Source organism: Homo sapiens, chromosome 20 (genome assembly GCF_000001405.40).
Source record: "Homo sapiens chromosome 20, GRCh38.p14 Primary Assembly".
NCBI classification, from domain to species: Eukaryota; Metazoa; Chordata; class Mammalia; order Primates; family Hominidae; genus Homo; species Homo sapiens.
This window is the reverse complement of record NC_000020.11, coordinates 24,618,788-24,639,846: the sequence shown is the minus strand read 5'-3', so window position 1 is coordinate 24,639,846 and position 21,059 is coordinate 24,618,788. Positions and strand designations below refer to the sequence as shown.

Here is a 21,059-nt window from a genome sequence, read left to right as displayed (position 1 = left end):
ACATGGAAAATGCTCATGGTATTGATTACAAAAAGGCAGACTTTAAAATTTAATCTTACCTATATAGAGAATAATGTTTAGAAAACAGGACTGGAAAGAATCAGGCTAAACTCTTGAGTGTAATTGCTTCTGATGTTTTCACCCTGTTTTTTCATAGTTTATCACAATGTCCAAAATTTCAATTGTATTAATGTTAACAACAACAAATAAACCACATTGATACCGCAGGATGCCATTCTGTCCTGGTCAACATCACGCCGACAACTCAATTTATTTCTCCAAGTGTGAGCAGCTAGGGTGGTGGCAGTGTCCCCATCACTCACACTAGGGAGCTGAAGGGCAGGGACAGCAGGCTGTCTCCCATCCCCGGAGATGCCGAGATGCCTTTTAGAATTCTGGGGAGCTGCTGTGAAAGCCTTCGTGTGTGGGGAATATGCCTTGACCCTACTGTCCTCACTGGGCTCTGATATGCAGTGGCAGGGACTGCTGTCTCTGCAGGCTGATAAGCCTTCATCATCACTGTCACATACGAAGCCCCCAGTAGCACTGGAGCCAGTGGGCACATGCACCTGGTTCATGCCTCTGCTGAGATGTGCTTTCCTTGTTCGCCATCTGACAACCCTCCCCTGAGCCTGTCACGTTCTCCCTGCCTGCGTCTTACCTCACTCTGGGAGCATTTCATACCCTCTGTGTGCACCCCTCCTGTCTCCACATTTTAGGCTGCACACAGTGCTTTGTATTATAATAATGTGTGTGGCCTTTGTGGGTCTTGCCGTTGGGACAGCACCTCCTCAGCTCTGCTTCCTGGGCCCCCATGTCAGACACCTGCTGCTGATGTCAGCTGCACCCACCACGCTGGCAGGGAGGCCCAGCAGGTTGTCTTCCAGTCCAGGTTGCCATCTCAGCACAAGTCCTGCGTGCCTGGCCTATGACCTTTGGCACCCCTGGGCTACCCCTGTGTTTATTTCTTAAACAGTGCAGTGTGCTCACTCTCTGAGCCTGGAATCAGAAGCCATCACAAGCCCAAGCTGAGTCATGCACAGACTTTCAAATCAGAGCCCGAGCCTCTGCTTCCACATTTAATATGCCATTTATCTTGACAATGGCCATTCCTTTTTTTGTTTGTTTTCAGTAGCAATCACATTCACAGATATTCATCCAATGACATTTAAAAACATACAAATTCCAGGCTGAGTGTGGTGGTTCATGTAATCCCAGCCCGTTGGGAGGTCAAAGTGGGGGTATTTCTTGAGTCCAGGAGTTTGAGACCAGCCTAGGCAACGTTGTGAAACCCAGTCTCTATTTAAAAAAAATACAAAAAATTCACCGGGCATGGTGGTACATGTTTGTAGTCCCAGCGTCTCGGGAAGGGGCTGAGATGGGAGAATCGCTTGAGCTCAGGAGGTGGAGGATGCAGTGAGTCCTGATGGTGCCGCTGCACTCTAGCCTGGGTGACAGAGTGAGACCCTCTGGAGACAGTCTCCAAATAAATAATAAATAAAACAATTTCTATTTTTACCTTATACCACATTGCTGTTCTTAATATATATATGCAAACTTGTCAGTTATATTCCCTTTTTTAAAAAATCCGATTTTGCACCTGCAGCATCCATCTTGGTTTTTCTGTCCTTCTCAGCCCTGCACTGTCACTGGGGTGACCAGCTTTGGTATGAGTTGACAGTGCAGCTTTGAGCTGGCTGCTTTTCCTCTGTGACTGAGAGGTGAGCCGTGCCCGCTTCACTTGGGCAACTCATTCACCTCCACTTTTTAGGACTGCGTGAGGCTAAATGATGCAGTGTTTGGAGGGAACACTCTCTCGGACACTGGATGACTGGATGTTAGTCCCAGCTTGGCCATTAACTAGCTGTGGCCTTGGTCAAGGCATTTAACCCCTCCAGGTCGCAGCAGTTTCTAAGATGCTTCTAGGATAGCCCTGGATTTCTGCCAAGAAGTCTTGACTACACAGAGGAGTCTACAGATAGTTGAGGGGTGTTCTGGGGCTGGGGAGACTCGAAGGGAGCCAGGGTGGTCTACACCAGCCAACTAGGTGGGTGCAGCCCACTGCCTCTGCCCTGCTGTGGTGACTGAGGCTCTTGGTGACACCTGTACACCTTTTACTGCTGGACCTTTGACTGGTGCCTGCTGGCAGAGCACCTGCTCTGCTCTTTGCCTGTTCTGTTTCTGGCATCACCTTCCCCCTTCCTTCCTTGATTTGAAATTTAGGACTTTAGTGACTTGATCTGTATCACATCTAGGAATATCAGCATTTTAGAAGGGTCTTCTCTGTGGCAGAAGTCTGGAGAGCCCACATTTTGCTGGGGTTTTCTAGGTGAGCAAGAGGCTTCATGAAGAAGATCCAGTGGCTAGGTGGGACCTCTGAGGGCTGATGTCTCTGAATGAGAGGGTTGTCTTTATGGGCCTATTCTTTCTGTCTCTCCAATGCCACTGCTTTTCACAGGGAAGAGGCTGTTAGAGTGGAGGGAGGGGACGTGGAAGGGACTTGAAGAAAATGTAGCTCTGAAGGGAAGGAATCGTAAATTACCATGTGGCTTGTAATTACCATATGAGACACACCACAGAGTGCTGGGTTTCTTGCTCGCTGTTCACTCCTCTGTTCACTATGTATTTGGCATCTATGCTGCATGTAGTTCCATGTGGGATTCTGTAGGAGCTGTACCAAGACCCCTCTTCCCAGCCAATGTACCCTCCTCAGCTGCTGGAAGGGTGGGCTGCTGAGGCTGCAGCAGCCTGCCCTCCCCGGGCCCTGCCCGTGGCTGCAGGGAACTGCCTTGCAGGATCCCCCACAGGGAAAAGGTCAAGCAATGACTTCCCATGTGCAGGGGAAAATTCTCAGGAGCCTCTTGGATGGTATGCAAGGCCTCAATTGCAACTTGTGATTTCCTACTGCGCCCCAGGCAGAACCTAGGTCTGTTGACATGATCAATATAGATTTTATCTTATAATAATGATATAGCAGTTAAAAAGAAATTATTTAGGCAGATAGCGAGGGTAAGAGAGTCCTTGGTAAGATTTTCCTTTTAATGAAAAGCAGCCCCCAAATCACTTCTTTTCTAACAAAGAGCAGCCTGTAAAATTGAGCTGCAGACATAGATAAGCTGGAAGCTTGCATGGGTGAATGCCAGCAGCTGTGCCAATAGGAAAAGGCTACATGGTGGCCAGGCAGGTTCAACATGGCACTCCATCATCTCCTTTCCTTGTCAACCACGTGCACAGTAAGGAGCAGACAACATGGCACTGGCCAGGTAGAGACCCCATCTGCATAGTAAAACATTAGGGAGAGGTGGCCAGCTTCTTTGTGTGCTATGTAAATGGCACACCTGGTCCAACCAATCTTTGGGCCCTATGTAAATCAGACACTGCCTCCTCAAGCCAGTCTATAAAACCCCATGTACTTTGCCATGGACTAGAAGACCCACTCAGGTGCCCCTCTCTCTCTGCAGGAGAGAGAGCTGTTCTCTTTTCTCTTTCTTTTGCCTATTAAACCTCCACTCTTAAATACACTTCTTGTATGTCCATTTCCTCTATTCCCTTGGCACGAGACAATGAACCTTGGGTATTTACCCCAAACAATGACGCAGCTTCAATAATAGATGAAAATCACTTCCAACTTATGCATGATGAAAAGAAGTTAAGCTTTCTCATGAAAATTGAAGTACCCTATTTGCAGCCCAGTCTCATATACCGGCAAATATGGATATAAACTTTCACCAAAAACTACATTTGATTGGAACATTGTTCATAGAGCCCCCCCAAAGTCCAGACAACAGTGAACAAGCAGTGTTGGAAAGACAGCTGGGTCAACGACAGTCATTGTTATGCAGGTATTTCATGAATGCTAAAGACAATAACTACAAAATTTCCAGAATATTGGAAAGTATTGTCAGTGAAAACATTGAGATACAGAAAGTGTGTTTACTCTCATGAGAATAAACTGGTGAGAGGGTCCCCACAGTGGTAGATGGCATGGTGACCGGGTGCTAGATGTGTGTGCATATGCAAATGGCTGAGTGTGGAGGAAACTGGAAGGGCAGTCGAGGTGGTTAACATAGGTTAACTGTGTGGCCGTGAGATCCACCCTCAACACAGAAGGGGAGAAAAGGGTGCTCTGAAAAACAAGAGGCATGTGTGAATAACTGCACTGTTACAAAACTACGTGTTTTGTGATGTGAATGTAATTGTAAAAAAAGCTTATAAAAAGGTACTCCTTTAGTCGGCCTCCTCATCAAGAAAAGTCTCCAGTTTAGAAACTTAAGTATTTAATAAGAAAGATGAGAACTGGAGGCAAGACCCAACCAGCACAGAGACCCTTGGTGTCCGCTGGGATAAGGTGCAATGTCCCTGAATCTGCAGTGAGCTTTTATCATAGCAATAGGTTCTCTTCTTTAGAATCACGGGCGGGAAATTATGCAAGATGACCAGGAATGAAGAGCGCGTTCGGAAAGGCAGAAAGTTATAAAATCTGTGAATGATAAGAGGAAGCTGCTTTGGTCAGAGGTTCTGTGAAGCATGAGGAGATAGGTGTAGAAATAAAAAGTTAGCAGTGGATTTTGTGACAGGACGATGGGGCTCTTCACTGCATGGTTTCTCCTCCTCTGCACACCCAATTCTTCGTGTGTTCATGAGTCACCACCGTGAAGCCAGCACCTGGGCCCACGGCCCAGCAGGAGACAAGTGAGGTCTTCACTGCCTTTCCTTCCCAAGTCTTGGAGGCTTCCCGCTGGCAGGGTGAGGAGTGGGCAGAAGCCCGTGCTGTCCCCAGCTGCGCCCCCTCAGAACAGGCAAGGAAAGCTGCTGAGTCACACTGCCAGGCTGCTCCTGGGGCTGCCGTGTGGGAGCTGCAGGATCCGATGATGCCTGGGAGACACTAGTGCAGGCTCTGTCTTCTGCTGAGTCACTGTGAGACACCGCACAACCAATGCTCAGCAGCTGTAAAGAACTGGACTGTAGTGCCCTGGAAGCTTCCCTCCAGCAACCACTGAAGATACTCCAGGACTCCTTTCTACAGCAAGAGGCACCACTGACAGCCAAGTCTGGCAGGAGGACATGTTTGCAGTAAAGCTCATGAACAGCAGACTAAAAACTGTGTCAGAAAAATAAGGTCTACAAATTAATAAAATGTGAACACCCAATACAAAATGGTAAATGTAGAACTAGAAATTTATACGGGAAATAAAAGCAGGAAAAAAAATAACACACATAAAGATGTTCAGCTTTATAGTAACCAATGAAACACAAACTGAAACTGACAATATCTTTTATTTTATCTATCAGATTGTTGAAAATGGAACACTGAGCTCAGGTGGGAAAGACAGGCATTCACATTTTGTTAATAGGAATGAAAACTGGTACGGACTTCTGGAGGAGAAGTTACAGTATGTAGCTAAATTTACATGTGAATAACCTTTGACTTGGTGGAATTTCACTTGTGGATATCCTATATTTGCAAAAGGAGAAGTTGAAAACAATTGATATGTCCATTTTTAGGGAAAACATTACTGTAATGAAATTATTGCAATTCATACATCAAAATGCTACAAAATCATTAAAAATGTCAATGCTGGTGTTTATATGCAGATACCAGAAGTATTTACATTATGTGAAAAAGCAAGCTGCATTGCACTTTGATGGTCTTCTACGTGTAAATCAAAACTGCCCACACACACATTGATAAAGGCACAGAAAGACGGGGTCCCCCTGGAGGAGGGGCTTTGAGAAAGGGGCATGGAGGAGAGGTTCAGTTTTCATGCTTTCTTTCTCCATTCTCTTCCTCCTCCTTCTGTTTTCCAAGTTGAGTACACTATATTTGAAAAGACAATGAATAAACAAATCCAGACATGTGTCTATGTGCTCTGCTGATAACGAAGGGAACCCCAGGCAGAGTTTGGCGGATGCAGGTGACCTGGGAGGGCAGGAGTGAAAAGGTGAGAGCGGCTGGTGCGGGTGTCACGTGCTGTGCCCACACCCCAACAACCCTGAACCACGGCCTCCCCTAGGTGCTGGGGCTCCTAACCAAGAGCCTGGTCCATTAGGACAGGCTGACTTCAGCATGTGTTACCTCAGGAGTCTCCACAGCAACCTCAGAGGGCATTCACACCCAGACTGCCAGCCCCGTCCCCAGAGCTTCCGAGTCAGCAGGTCTTGGGAGCTGACGAGACTTCACGATCCTAAAACGTTCCCAGATGACCCTGATGCTGCTGGTCCAGGGAACCAGCCCTTGCGAACTGGAAAAAAGGATGGAGGAATTGAATGCTGCCATTTCTTCCAGGGTGATCAACTAGAATCAAAAGGGGACCAACTTAGAGGGTTTCAACAAGGTTCTTTGGAACATTCCCCCCCGTGAACGTTACCAGTTAATATTGATCCATGTTTATTTCTGAGCCTCCCCTACACCTGCTCCCGTGCTGGGTGCTGGGACTCTGCCAGGCACGGATAAACCAGGAGGGGCACAGCAGGGGCATCACGCACTCCACTGTGGGCCTTCGGGCTGGGTGGTGTCAGGGAGGAAGGCACGTGCCAGAGAGGTGGGCAGTGGTGGCTCTGCAGCCAGCGAGGGCTCAGATCCTACGTCTGTACTCAGGACAGTAACATGTGCCTGAATGATTGCGGCCAGGACATTCTGGGTCTGGAGGCACTCTGACCAGAGGGACAGTTTCCAGGCATGCTTCCTCACTAAGTGTTTAGCATGGCAGTAAGCTTGCTGCAGCAAGCCACGTCATGTTCAGATTCGACACGGTCTGCCCATCGCCTCTGATTTTCCTCGGGGGAGGAGGTCTAGAACAGAGCACAAAGAACCACTGGAAACTATGGGAAAGGTTATTCTGTGATATGAAAGCCTGTGGTAACTTTATTGACCAAAACGAAAAAAAAAAAAAAACAAACTTCACATAATCTATGGCAGTACCCTCCAGAGCCTTCATAAAATAAGTTCATTTCAAGTTCTGTTTCAGCTTCTCGCGAATTTATTCCAGAAGGGAGGAAAACAGCTTGTCATCCCTGTGTCTGGAAGCCCCGATGGCCTTCCCTTGTTTCCTTGTAAAGCCACAATTATTTACAGGTCTCTTTATCCCTCCAGCTGGCACTAAATACTTGAAGGGAAGCAAGGCTTCCTGCTGTTTCCCCGCTCACGACAGCAGGGCCACGTTATCATCTTGTTACCTGGACTCTTGACAAAGAACAAGAAAAGGGACCCCTATGGTCCTGGGACCAGGGGTCTTGAAAAACTCTCATTGAAATGAGGCAGCCTGCTTTTTTTCACTGGTGTTATTATTAAATTAGGTGTGAACTCTGGCCAGATGTGGTGGCTCATGCCTGTAATCCCAGCACTTTGGGAGGCCGAGGCAGGCTGATCACCTAAGGTCAGGAGTTTGAGACCAGCCTGGCCAACGTGGTGAAACCCCATCTCTACTGAAAATACAAAATTCAGCCAGGCATGGTGGCATGTGCCTGTAATCCCAGCTACTCAGGAGGCTGAGGCACAAGAATCACTTGAACCTGAGGGGCAGAGTTTGCAGTGAGTTGTGATCGCACCACTGCACTCCAGCCTGGAGCGAGACTGTTTCAAATAAAATAATAAAATAAAATAAAATAAAAAGTAAATTACGTGTGAAATCTACGCAGCAGGGAATTCACAGAACTAGAAAGATAGGCTGACTTCCAAACTCCTCCCTGCCCTCTCCTGACACCGCCCTGGGCCCACAGCCCCCACTTCCACAGAAAGACATCTGGGAGATGAATGAGTCTAGTTCTGGTCTAGTCTGTGCCACCCTCTGAAGTTAGGAGCAGAGGATGAGGCTACAGGGACATGCCTAGCTGGACAGCAGTGATGCTTTGCTCACATTTTTGAGTCTTGGTTGATGTAACTATAAGCAATCTAAGCTCTTATCAAAATGTTGGGTCCTTGGTTTCAGAAGTCACCAACACTGCAAATCTACTATTTAAAACAAAGCCAGGTGATAGTAGAGTATAGAACTAGCCACAGAAGCTTATTTTATTACAACTCTTTGAAAATAAAGCTAGCTTCACAGAATATGGTTCTGCATAGAAGTGTATATACTTATTATATATGCATATATGTGTGTGTATATATATATAAATCAAGAAAGGTCCTCTCAGCAAGAAGAATTTTTGAAATTTTTCCGATATGTTTGTTTCCAGGAGAGATTCCTCAATGCTCAGATGCCTCAGCAGATTTTACGTGATAAAGCTCTGCTCTGGAAGTCCTTCCCAGGGTAGCCCTGATAAACTAAAAAGGTCCTCCTGATCCCAAATATAAAAATCTCACCTTTTTATGAAGAAAAAAGTTTTGGTAAATTGGTTCAAGAATGAGGAATGTTGAATTTGAGGCTGACAGTTCCTGATGTGTGGCTGACAGTGTTGCTTTCTGGAGGAGATGATGAGGCCGTCGCGCCCGCAGGTGGGGATGTGGTGGCTGATGAGGCCCTTCCGCGGTCCTGAGAGGCCTTTGCTGCCTCCACCTGCCCCGGAGCTCACCCTGACGCATGGCAATGCCCGCCGCAGGAGTCACCATTTCATCTTCCACTTCTACAGCAGGGAAGATGCCAGGCCACGGTTTCCAACCTTGTCTGGGCCCACAGCTCCCAGGACATTCTGAGCCTGTTCTCTAATTTCCCCAGACTTCAATTTGAAGCCTTCTAGGCCACAGCCTCTTCCTTGATTTCCATGGTTTCCCTTGTATGTCACAAAGTAGAGGCTCCCCAGCTGGGACTTTTGGGGCAGTGTTGATTTCCTGTCATTGCCCTCCATAACAACACGCCCTGTGGGCAATCCAAGGGTGTCTATGACCGCCTCAGTTAAAGATCTTCTCCCTCATTTCCATCAGCAGCCAAGCCAGCTCATCTTTCAGACCCAAATCATCATGTGATCCTGCTGTCCTCCTTTCTTTAGAGAGTGTTCTTTATTGCTCCTAAGGCATTTGCCTTCACTTTTCTTTGTTCGGTATTAGTCTCACCACCAACTGCTTCAGAGTCACCTTCCCTCTAGATGGGACATTCTATAACTCAGGGTTCTTGTAGAGGGGCAATGGCAGAGAGGCAGGGTTCCCAGCAGGGGTGGCCCAAGGGCAGCCAGGCGACAGTGGACGAAGGTCTGACAAGTTCTGAGGATGCAGCATGAGGCTCCCAGGACCCAGGACCTCAGGAGTGTGGATGTTGCTGCAGCCACGTAAGGGATTCTGCTGCCTTTGACACAGAGGGGCTCAGGCCCACCCCACCACATGGACCTGCCTGGTGAACCATTCTGGATTCAAAAGACCCTTGAGATAGACTCTCTGGCTGTTTCTCTGCTCTCCTGGGTTGTTTCCAGTTTGGGGCCCTGATGAATAAGGTACCATGAACAATCCTGTGTATCTCTCTTTGTGGACATTTCTGAGTTCATTTCTCTTGGGAAAATATCTAGGTGGGAAGGAGGGAAATACATGTTTATGTTTCTAAGGAAACTTCAGATCATTTCCACAGTGTTTGGGGCATTTCACCCTCACATCAGCAGTGGGTGAGTGTCCCAGTCCTCTAGGTCCCGGTCAATCCCCAGGGGTCTCAGCATGTTTAACACGGACCACTCCTGTGAGTGTGTGCAGAGGCAGCTCGTTAGGTTTTCGTTTTGTACTCCCCTGATGATACACGATCATGGGCACCAACTCTGTGCTTCTTGATTTTTGCATATCTGCCTTTGTGAATTAACTATTCAGGTCTTTGTCTTTTTCTTATCGAGTTCTGGCATTCTTCACCACCACCAGCAGAATCTCTCACTTTATAGATGATGCATCTCCTGTGCAGTCACACAGGTGGTCCATGCAGGGCTGGGCTTGGACTCCGCTCCTGACTCCAGGCACTTGTGCATGACCTCAAAGTATAGAATATCCTGAGTGGCAGCAGAAAGGCCACTTGGCAGCAGGAGGCAGAGACACATGACCACTTGCCTGTCTCCAAGCAGTTATCTCGGCAGCTGATAATATCTCAGTTCCGGAAGCTGCCTGGGCTCCTCACTCTGGTCTACCCTCCCTGGCAATGGTGCTGCAAAATGATTTCACAAAACCTGCATTACATTTACTTCTCCTTGCTGGCAGTAAGCCATGGCTAGCTTTGTAAATCACTTTCAGCTTTGAAGCTTCAGTGGTGTATAAACATGTGGAAGGGCCCCAATTCTCCGTGTTCCTACAGCACGGCGTGGCACAGGCAGTGGTGGGCTTCCTTTCCTTGGCTTATTTGTATGGTCTTGACACAACAGAGCTGCTGTCTGCTGCGTGGGCCTAGGTGGCTGTGAGTGCCTTTCTCTGTGGTCCTCATTTGGCTTCCTGTCAGTTTCCTTCCTCCTCCTCTGCCTCCCTCCTTTCCTCTTTTTCCTGTCTCAATTTCTTCTTGGCATATTGTTTATTTAATTGCCATGCCTCTTTGAAAGGCCCTGAAGTCAAAGCAGTCAGTTTTGATTCTCTTGCCCAAGAATTTCCACCTAGGACTTTCCTCCATCCTAAGACACTGCTGAGGAAGTCTCCCCAAGGGCAGCAGCAAGACCCATCTGAGAACCCCAGAGGCACACTCGCCTCACTGTTGGGAGGCCACTTCAGCATAAGCGGGGAGCCGACATGTCCACGTCTGTCACAGAGGAGTGTGTGGGCTCCTGGGCCTGCCCTTGGCATGGCTTGTGTGTAGCAGGCCAGAGCCGGCCTTTCTGGCTCACATGTTCTATCTGTAGCCTCTCAGCTGAGCATTCACCTCCACTGTCCAAGCTCTGCATTCATTCTGCCTGAAACAAAGCCATTTGCATGGGGCTAACGTGGACAGATACAGAGTAGCTGTGGCTGTCTTTCTCATGAGGATCACTATGCCCTCAAAATCATCATCTTCCTGCCTTTCAGGGTCTAGATCTTAGAATCCATATGGGGGGCTTTAGAAAGCCTACAAACCTGCTTGCTTTCCCTCCCACCCAATCTGCAAAGCGTGGAGACTGGAAAGCAAGGCTGACCTTCACTTCCTGTTCTGGGATGATCAAGGGCAGGTGGAGGATGCAACTCCGGATAATGGTGACAGAGCCCTAGCGCGATGCATTTGGCAGAAGGGAAAGGGTGGAGCAGGGGTGTGTGCTTCCTGGGGACCACCAGCTTGGCTGCAGCCAGACTCCCCTCCCCAAGGGTTCTGCTGGCCCCACTGCCACTCACAATGTGTTTTGATTGGGTGGGGAGCAGAAAATGCAAAAGAAATTTCAAGGTCCATCACTTAGAGGACAAATGTATATCATTATGCATTGATATTGCCTTTCTTGAAGTGGAAATTCTGCTCAGGGTCCATGCCACGCTTTCCTCCAGTCAGTAATAGTGACCTTCTTCACTTGGAAATCTTTTCATTTTCTCTGCTATAAAGCCCTTAGTGAGGCCACCTCAGTTGATGGTCCACACACCAATAAATATATCAGAGGATGAATAAGCAGAGTGGCTGGCAGGATGGGGAGCACAGAGCTGCATAATGGAAGGTGTCAGGGCTGCTGACTGCAGAGGAGTACTTTGCTGCAGACGTCCAAGTTTGCGGGGCTCCCCTGGTACTCCCTTCAGAAGAGTGTCGACTTAACGGCACGCAGGCTCTGGCAGTGCCAGAAAGCTTTCGACCTGCTTCCTGGCAGCGGTTGCTAATTCTTTTCTTTTCTTCCCAGATAATTTTTACAAAAGGAAGTAGGGGGCTGAGCATGCAGGGGATGCCCCGGAGAGCGAGCCGTACTCACAGCTCACCAGCTTCCTCCTTCCTCTGTCCTAGAGGGGGACCATCCTGTGCTCCTCTAAGTGCCATAAGTACGAACAATCAAAGATGATTTAACATCCACGCTGCACACCAATGACATGAATAAAAGATTTAAAGATACTGCCACAGCTCAGAGAGCCTCCTCTTCAAGTTTTCATCACTACGCTGCTCTCCGGCCCGAGGATCTCCGCCAAGTGACTGAGCACTTGATTCTCCAACCTCCAGAGGCGGCCCTGCCCCAGGGCAGCATTAAGAAGTGCTGAAGAGGGGGCTTATTCTTAGGGTTCCCCCAACCTTGTTCTCCACTTGGCAGTGGGACCCTGTAATCAAACAAACTCAGAAAAGCATTCCCTTTTAGTTTGGTAGCAAAGCATTTTGTTGTTGCTGAGAATTGATTGATGGACATTTCTGAGACTGGGAATCAAACCAGTGTCAGTTCCAGTCCCGGGAACCGGGGAAGGCTTCATGTCTTTTAGCCTTTGAAAGATGCACTACGGAGAATGTTTTCTGAAGTGCAGGAAAAATATCCTTTTGTTCAACGGACATCGGAATGCGGAGACTGCAGCATGATCCTTTTGGTAGGTCATCAGAATCAGGGGAGGAGTTCTCAAAACCCAAGCACCCAGGCCTCACCCTAGACCAGTCACACAAAATTCACCAGCAGAAGGGCCCAGGCATCAACAGTTTTTCATTCAAGTTTTCCAGATTCCTTAGGTAGATAAGACTGAGAACCACTGTTTTCATTGAAGTAGAGCAATCAGGTTATCCCTTGCTCCTCCAGTGAGCTTTGTCATTTGTATTTTCAAGGGACTGGTCAATTTCATCTAAGTTACTGGATTTACAGGTACAGAGTTGCTCACAGCATTCTCTTATTCTCCTTTCAATGTCCCAGGCAGCTCTCGCTCTCGCTCTCGCTCTCGCTCTCGCTCTCCCTCTCCCTCTCCCTCTCCCTCTCCCCACGGTCCCCCTCTCCCCACGGTCCCCCTCTCCCCACGGTCTCCCTCTCCCTCTCTTTCCACGGTCTCCCTCTCATGCCGAGCCGAAGCTGGACTGTGCTGCTGCCATCTCGGCTCACTGCAACCTCCCTGCCTGATTCTCCTGCCTCAGCCTGCCGAGTGCCTGCGATTGCAGGCGCGCGCCGCCACGCCTGACTGGTTTTCGTATTTTTTTGGTGGAGACGGGGTTTCGCTGTGATGGCCGGGCTGGTCTCCAGCTCCTAACCGTGAGTGATCCGCCAGCCTCGGCCTCCCGAGGTGCCGGGATTGCAGACGGAGTCTCGTTAACTCAGTGCTCAATGGTGCCCAGGCTGGAGTGCAGTGGCGTGATCTCGGCTCGCTACAACCTCCACCTCCCAGCCGCCTGCCTTGGCCCCCCAAAGTGCCGAGATTGCAGCCTCTGCCCGGCCGCTACCCCATCTGGGAAGTGAGGAGCGTCTCTGCCTGGCCGCCCATCGTCTGGGATGTGAGGAGCCCCTCTGCCTGGCTGCCCAGTCTGGAAAGTGAGGAGCGTCTCTGCCCGGCCGCCATCCCACCTAGGAAGTGAGGAGTGCCTCTTCCCGGCCGCCATTCCATCTAGGAAGTGAGAAGCGTCTCTGCCCGGCCGCCCATCGTCTGAGATGTGGGGAGCGCCTCTGCCCTGCTGCCCCGTCTAGGATGTGAGGAGCGCCTCGGCCCGGCCACGACCCTGTCTGGGAGGTGAGGAGCGTCTCTGCCCGGCCGTCCTGTCTGAGAAGTGAGGAGACCCTCTGCCTGGCAACCGCCCCCTCTGAGAAGTGAGGAGCCCCTCCGCCCGGCTGCCACCCCATCTGGGAAGTGAGGAGCATCTCCGCCCGGCAGCCACCCTGTCCGGGAGGGAGGTGGGGGTCAGCCCCCGCCAGGCCAGCCGCCCCGTCCGGGAGGGAGGTGGGGGGTCAGCCCCCTGCCCGGCCAGCCGCCCCGTCCGGGAGGTGAGGGGCACCTCTGCCCGGCTGCCCCTACTGGGAAGTGAGGAGCCCCTCTGCCCAGCCAGCCACCCTGTCCGGGAGGGAGGTGGGGGAGTCAGCCCCCCACCTGGCCAGCCACCCCGTCCGGGAGGGAGGTGGGGGGGCCAGCCCCCCGCCTGGCCAGCCGCCCCATCCGGGAGGTGAGGGGCGCCTCTGCCCGGCCACCCCTACTGGGAAGTGAGGAGCCCCTCTGCCCGGCCACCACCTCGTCTGGGAGGTGTACCCAACAGCTCATTGAGAACAGGCCATGATGACAATGGCGGTTTTGTGGAATAGAAAAGGGGGAAAGGTGGGGAAAAGATTGAGAAATTGGATGGTTGCTGTGTCTGTGTAGAAAGAAGTAGACATGGGAGACTTTTCATTTTGTTCTGTACTAAGAAAAATTCTTCTGCCTTGGGATCCTGTTGATCTATGACCTTACCCCCAACCCTGTGCTCTCTGAAACATGTGCTGTGTCCACTCAGGGTTAAATGGATTAAGGGCGGTGCAAGATGTGCTTTGTTAAACAGATGCTTGAAGGCAGCATGCTCGTTAAGAGTCATCATCACTCCCTAATCTCAAGTACCCAGGGACACAAACACTCTGCCTAGGAAAACCAGAGACCTTTGTTCACTTGTTTATCTGCTGACCTTCCCTCCACTATTGTCCTATGACCCTGCCAAATCCCCCTCTGCGAGAAACACCCAAGAATGATCAAAAAAAAAAAAAAAAAAAAATGTCCCAGGCATTTGGAGTGATGGCCCGTCTTTCTTTCATGATATTGATAATTTGTGTTGTCTTTATCTCCTGGTTAGCCTGGCTAGAGGTTTATTAATTGTGTTGATTTCTTCAATTTTTATGTTTGCTTTTCAAAGAACTGACATTTGGTTTTGTTGTTTTTCTCTACATTTTTCCCGTTTATAATGTTATTCATTTCTTCTCTAATTGTAGTTATTTCCTTCCTTTTGTTTAATTTGTTATTTCTCTAGTGCCCTAAGGTAGTTTAGATTATACATATTGAATCTTTCATTTTTTCTAAGATATGCATTTAATGCTATAAATTTCCCTTTAAACATTGCTTTAACTACATCTCCCAAATTTTAAATTATATTTTCATGTACACTAAGTTGAAATATTCTTAAGTTTTCCTTGAGATTTATTCTTTGACCATGGGTTATTGAGAAGGGTTTTTTTCTAAGTTCCAAATATTTGAGAAATAACCTGTATCTTTCTGTTATTTAGTTCTGTCTTAATTATTTTGTTGTCTGCCTCACATACTTTTTATTTTCTCTACTGTTTTTAATCTTTTGAGGATTTTTTTGTGACCCAGAATATGGCCTATATTGTGACTGCTTCACGTGCCCCTGAGAAGAATGTATATTATGCTGTTGTTGAATGAAATGTTCTTTTAATGTTAATAAGGTCAAGTTGATTGATAGTGCTATTCAGGTCATTTTTTATGATTTATATCTTCACTACTTTTCTCTCTGCTTGATCTATCAATTACTGACAAATGAGCATGAAAATCTCTAACTACCATTGTATCTTCTTCTTTCATTTCTATCAGTTTTTGCCTCATGTTTTGACTCTTTGTGGTTAGGAGCACACATGTTTAGGACTGTTGTATCTTCTTAGATAATCGAACCCTTCATCATATCCAGTGTGCCTCCTTATCTATGATAATCTTTGTTGTTCTGAAGTCAGCTTTTTCTCAAATTAATACAGCCACTTCAGCTTTATTTTGATTAGTGTTAGCATAGTACATCTTTTTCCATTCCTTAATTTTAACACATCTGTATCTTTATATTTAAAGTAGGTTTCTTATAAACAGCATTCTGTTGGGTCTCATTTTTTTTTTTTTTTTTTGAGATGGAGTCTCATTCTGTCACCCGGGCTGGATTGCAGTGGCAGGATCTCGGCTCATTGCAAGCTCCACCTCCCGGGTTCATGCCATTCTTCTGCCTCCCAAGTAGCTGGGACTACAGGCACCCACCACCACACTCAGCTATTTTTTTGCATTTTTAGTAGAGATGGGGTTTCACCATGTTAGCTAGGATGGTCTTGATCTCCTGACTTCGTGATTCGTCGGCCTTGGCCTCCCAAAGTGCTGGGATTACAGGTGTGAGCCACCGCACCCAGCCAGTTGGGTCTCATTTTTAAAACTCCAGTTTGACAGTCTGTCTTTTAAATGTCATATATAACTGATAATTAATACAGTCAGATTAATGGTTGCCATCTTTGTAAGGTTGTTGGATTTGTTCTGGTTTTTTCCCCCTCTTTTTCAGAATCTTCTAGTTTCAACTGAACATTTTACATGATTCCATTTAATCTCCTCTACTGACTTATTATTTATACTTCTTTTTTAATATATAGTTTAGTGCCCAGGGTTCATAGTATACATCTTAAACTAATCTAAATTTACCCTCGAATAATACCATACTGCTCCATGTGTCGTGCGGGTACCTCACAACAGAGTATTTGTCAATGCCCTTCTCATTTCTTGGGATGCTGTTTTCGTTTTTCACTTGAACACATGCTCTAATCACCAAAGCCAGCATCACTATTTTTGCTTTTAATGGATAGTATCTTTTAGATAAATTATGAGTAAGAAAAACAAAATATTTTATTTCACTTCTAGTTATTCTTTTTTGCTGTACTTTTTTTCTTTATGTAGATCCAAATTTCTGACCTGTAACATTTTCCTTCTGTTTGAAGAATTTCCTTGCTATTTCTTATAGACTTCAGACCTGCTGGCAATGAATTCCATCAGCTGTTTATCTGAGATAGTTTCTATTTTATCCTTGACTTTTGAGGGATATTCTTACTGAATATGCAATTCTAACTTGCCAGTATTTTTTCTTTATTTGTTTCTTCAGATCTTTAAAGATTACAGTCAACTGCATTCTTAGTTGCACAGTCTCTTTTTTCTTTTCTTTTTTTTTTTTGACGGAGTCTTGCTCTGTCACCCAAGCTGGAGTGCAGGGGCATGATCTCAGCTCACTGCAACCTCCGACTCCTATGTTCAAGCAATTCTCCTGTCTCAGTCTCCCGAGTAGCTCAGATTACAGAGTTGCACAGTTTCTGATGAGAAGTCTGCAGTAGTTTTAATCCTTGTTTCTCTAAAGAGAATGTCCTCATTCTTTTCAGATGTATTCAAGATTTTCTCTTTGGTTTCAATTTTCTATGGTTTAAACAGGATATATCTCAGTTACTTTTGGTTGTTGTTGGTTTGTTTTTGTTTTTTGTTCTAATTCTGCTTGATGTTTTCTAAGATTCTTAAGACAGTGGCTTGGTGTCTATGACTAATATTGGAATATTCTTGGCCATGATTTTAAAAAATATTTCTTGTTTCTTCTTCTGGTATTCCAATTTTCATATGTTACACTAGTGGTTGCCAACCTTTTTGGCACCAGGGACCAATTTCATGGAAAACAATTTTTCCACGGATCAGTGCAGAGGGGATGGTTTCGGGATGAAACTGTTCCATCTCAGGTCATCAGGCATTAGATTCTCATAAGGAGCATGCAACCTAGATTCCACACATGTGCAGTTCATAATACGGTTTGCATTCCTATGAGAATCTAATGCCACCAGTGATCTGACAGGAGGCAGAGCTCAGGTGGTAATGCTTGCTCACCAGCCACTCACCTCCTGCTGTGTGGCCCAGTTTCTAACAGGCCATGGACCAGTACTGGTCTGTGGCCTGGAGGTTGGAGACCCCTGTGTTACACTATTTTGTATTGTTCCACATTCCTGGATTTCCTGTCCTGCTCTGTTTTATTTTCCATCCTTTTTTTCTTTGTGTTTCAGTTTGGGTCATTTCCTTTCACCTATCCTCAAGGTCACTGATTCTTCAGCCATGTCAAATCTACATATGAGCCCAATAAAAAATTATTCATTTCTTTGTCTGTTTTGTATTACTGGCATTTCTTTTCATCTTTCTGCTGACATCCATTTTCTTATGTGTTGTCTACCTCTTCCATCAACGTCTTTCACATATTGATCATAATTGTTTTAAATTACATGTCTGATAATTCCAACATCTGAGTCATATTTGAGTTTGGTTCTGATGATTATTTTGTCTCATCAGTGTTCTCTTGACTTTTGGCCTGCCTTGTAATATTATGTTGAAATATAGACATATGGTATAGAGCAGAAGATACTGAGTTAAATAAGACTTTCAAGTGAGAATTGATGTTAATTTGGCCAGGAGTTGAAGTGTATTCAATGTTTGGTGTAGATTTAGGTGTCAGAAACTTCTAATGTCCTTATTTTTGCCTCTTCTCTTGGCATTTGGATTCCCTTATATATGGCACCTAAGTCAGAGTATATGTCTTGTGGTTTTTCAAGCTCAACTCATGGTTATTATACTGGAAGCTCATTCACATGGTGGTAGGGCATAGGGAAGGACATGTTCTCTGATCTGATCAAGTATCATTCTTTGGAGTGCATAGTTGGCCTGGGGTGCACTCCAGAAAAGGGTATGACTTTCAAATCTTTCTGTCCCTTCCCAGGGTAGAGTTTTCCCCCAAAAAAAGGATGCCACTGCTTCAGATACTAATACAGGGGAAGAAATGAGACCCAGCAGACACATCAGCACATGGGTTTGGGACCAAATGGCAAAAGAGTTATTTAAAAATATGAATAAGCAGAGTGTAAACTTAGAAATTCAGTATTTCAGCAAATCTGAAATAATACATTTTGCAAATGGCCACTTAACAAGAGAGAATGCCAAATTGGTGTTTACCATGTGCTAAGCCAACCAACTGAAACCTTCAAAGTGCAATGCACTTATGATGTGATAAGTTATTTACTTAAGTAGCAAAAGTAAATAGATAAGCTTTCCCAACACTTTGTTTTTAGAATAACAAGTGAGATGCATGTGGAAGATTAGCAAATGCTTTAAGGTTGCTCTCTTTTGTTGAGACAGTTTCTATTCCTTTCTTGTACACATACAAAACATCAGGCTGCAGATATTTGATGGAATATGCTAACTTAGCTTATTTTTTAACACTCTTAAAATATTTAATGCTATCATTTAGCATTATCAACATAATGCTGTTTACTTTGCCCACTGAAGATTCACAAGATTCTTAGCCCTTTTATCTCCATCAGGTAATGTGTTTATCATCATTGCTTTGTATGCCAACGGGCACCTGAGAGGTTATAATAGCATCTCAGTCAAATTGCCTTTTACCTTTTACTGAAATAATGCCATGAACTTATAAGAACTGACAGAAGGCATTTTAGGTCAAAGAGATTTTGTTAATTTGATATATTGATTTGAATAAAGTATTTAGGAAAACAATTGTTCCGTCATTATTCATTTTCCTATGAACCTATTAATACAAATACGTTATGTGTATAGTTTTCTTTCATCCTTGGAAATACAGCTGTGGCAGACTATATAGTCCCAAAATAGCAGCTGCAATTTTTCCCATCCCTTATAATCTTCCAGAGCCTTGACATCTATGTCTCCTCCTATGAATGCCTTGACCAGTACAGTCCAGTACAAGTGATGCTGCCTAGCTTTGAAGGTTGGATCATAACCAGATCTTGTGCTCCACCTTGATGTAGGACGTTTGCTTGAGGAAGCCAGCTGCCGTGTTGTGAGGAAGCTCAAATTAGCCTATGTGCAGAAACCACATGGAAAGGCAATGAGATGGGCCTCCTATGGATGGCTTGTTTAAAGTCCCTGCAAACAGCCAGCACTGATGACCAAATGTGGGAGTAAAGACACCTCCAGATGTTTCCTCCTAGCTGTCAGGTCACCCCCCAGCCTTGGGTCTTCCTAGCTGAGGTCCCAGACATCATGGTGCAGAGACAAACCATCCTCATGCTGCTTCTTGAACTCCCAACCAAAGAAATCATGAGCATAATGAAAAAGTTGTTTATGCCACCATGTATGGGTAGCAGCAATAAATAGATCAGTGTTGTAAATACAATTTTGAGGTTTATCAGAAAACAGGGATCTGGAGTTGTGTATAAAATACTTTCCTTTAAAACTGATAAGAATCACATAGATTGTGGCTTGAAGGTTGCAGGAACTGACACAAAGTTGTCCTGAAGAAGAATTTACCTTCTCCTGTAGGGTCTTAGGGAAGCTCTCCAGGGTGGCCAGGATTTTGAACCTCTTTAGCTGAGTCCATATTTAAACTCCCACGGCCTCAGTTTCCTCATGTGCAGAACTCCACAACATGCCTTGCATCATGCAGGGTCTGAACTTGGAAGCCTCTGCATCACCCTTTCTCTCCCTCAATGCCACTCAAATGGAAGATACAGAACCCTGATTTTGCACATGAAAGTTAGGCTGGGTCATGCCACATGGGGTCTGGGATACAGTATGTTCTGGTCACTAAAAGATGACTTTCCTTTAATGGCTGGAGCTTTGTTGTCTAATAACATCATGAAGATAATGTAGTCAGTCTGGGCTATGCTATTATATAGTGGCAACACTACATTTATCTTAATTATAAACATTAAAAATAAATACAATGTATAGCAAGGTTCTTGAATTATGTGTGTGCATGCACTTGCAAATGCATGCTCTTGTTTATGTCACATAAATACCAGCTCCCCTGAGAATCATCTACGAACAGGAACATGAGGATGGCAGACTTGTCTCTCTTATCACTTTGCAAATATTGAGAAGTGAAACAAGACTGAAGTAGTGTTGTACAAGTGATTGGCTACCCTCCAGCTCCTTTCATAACAGCAACATTTAAAGAGAACAGACTTGATGATGACAATGACCAGTGGGCCCAGGAGGAATGGCCCTGGGTCCCCACTCTTCAGAAAAGCTGCAGTGAAGGCCTTAGGAGCTTATGTGGACACACTGCGCAGCCAGTCCAGATCCTTGTTATGCACCCGATTAAAGGATCCTTGAGGTGTAACACTAGTCAAGTTTGGCTGAGGGCTGAGGGTTCCACTAAGTCAGACACACAGGCTTAACATAGGCATTTTCATTTTTCCAGCATTTAAAACAATGAGATAGACTCAAGACCACAGCTTTTCTTTAACCCTTTTGGCAGTTTTAAATTCCAGGAGGCTTCAACACTCCTGCCCTGCAAAAGAGACTGTAAACCTCAGTCTTCTCATATAAGAGCAGGAGGTTCTACAGAGGCCATACCTGGAAGAAAACAGGTGCGTTTTGTCTCCCTCTATATTATTTGATGATATTTTTTGCTGTTGTTGCAATTAAGGAAATACAAGCCCTAATGCCCTGGTCTCTTGGCTACAGCAGTTACATATCTGAAACAACAACAACCACCACAAAATAAATAAAATAAAAAACAAAGAAAGGAAAAAGGAAAAAGAGTCACATGGAGGGGAAG

General features: G+C 46.0%; 1 protein-coding gene across 21 annotated transcripts in view, besides 5 other annotated features; it reads right to left on the bottom strand.

Annotated features, from left to right (window-relative positions):
- The window catches only part of SYNDIG1 (synapse differentiation inducing 1), a 196,988-nt gene that overhangs the window by 26,770 nt on the left and 149,159 nt on the right, over window positions 1-21,059 (bottom strand). For 6 of the 21 annotated variants that reach the window (XM_011529350.2, XM_011529347.4, XM_011529353.3 and 3 more), the window contains one exon: window positions 5,259-6,295. The exons of 11 other annotated variants lie outside the window; for them this stretch is intronic. In XM_011529350.2, coding sequence (XP_011527652.1) covers window positions 6,110-6,295 — 186 coding nt within the window. In that variant the 3' untranslated portion in view covers window positions 5,259-6,109. Of the gene's footprint in view, window positions 1-5,258; window positions 6,296-21,059 lie in introns of those variants that run through there. 4 more of the 21 variants (XM_047440496.1, XM_011529348.4, XM_047440497.1 and 1 more) reach the window with 2 other exon arrangements.
- Window positions 259-758: an enhancer, noted in NCBI's record as "H3K4me1 hESC enhancer chr20:24619725-24620224 (GRCh37/hg19 assembly coordinates)". NCBI's record gives its function as "activates a minimal SCP1, AML or CMV promoter by ChIP-STARR-seq in primed H9 embryonic stem cells {active_cell/tissue: H9 hESC(primed)}" and the evidence as "EXISTENCE:reporter gene assay evidence [ECO:0000049][PMID:30033119]".
- Window positions 759-1,260: an enhancer, noted in NCBI's record as "H3K4me1 hESC enhancer chr20:24619223-24619724 (GRCh37/hg19 assembly coordinates)". NCBI's record gives its function as "activates a minimal SCP1, AML or CMV promoter by ChIP-STARR-seq in primed H9 embryonic stem cells {active_cell/tissue: H9 hESC(primed)}" and the evidence as "EXISTENCE:reporter gene assay evidence [ECO:0000049][PMID:30033119]".
- Window positions 4,195-5,394: an enhancer, noted in NCBI's record as "MED14-independent group 3 enhancer chr20:24615089-24616288 (GRCh37/hg19 assembly coordinates)". NCBI's record gives its function as "activates an origin of replication core promoter dependent on BRD2, BRD4, P300/CBP and CDK7 cofactors, and independent of MED14, by STARR-seq in HCT116 cells {active_cell/tissue: HCT116}" and the evidence as "EXISTENCE:reporter gene assay evidence [ECO:0000049][PMID:35650434]".
- Window positions 4,475-5,313: an enhancer, noted in NCBI's record as "H3K27ac-H3K4me1 hESC enhancer chr20:24615170-24616008 (GRCh37/hg19 assembly coordinates)". NCBI's record gives its function as "activates a minimal SCP1, AML or CMV promoter by ChIP-STARR-seq in naive H9 embryonic stem cells {active_cell/tissue: H9 hESC(naive)}" and the evidence as "EXISTENCE:reporter gene assay evidence [ECO:0000049][PMID:30033119]".
- Window positions 5,478-6,130: an enhancer, noted in NCBI's record as "H3K4me1 hESC enhancer chr20:24614353-24615005 (GRCh37/hg19 assembly coordinates)". NCBI's record gives its function as "activates a minimal SCP1, AML or CMV promoter by ChIP-STARR-seq in naive H9 embryonic stem cells {active_cell/tissue: H9 hESC(naive)}" and the evidence as "EXISTENCE:reporter gene assay evidence [ECO:0000049][PMID:30033119]".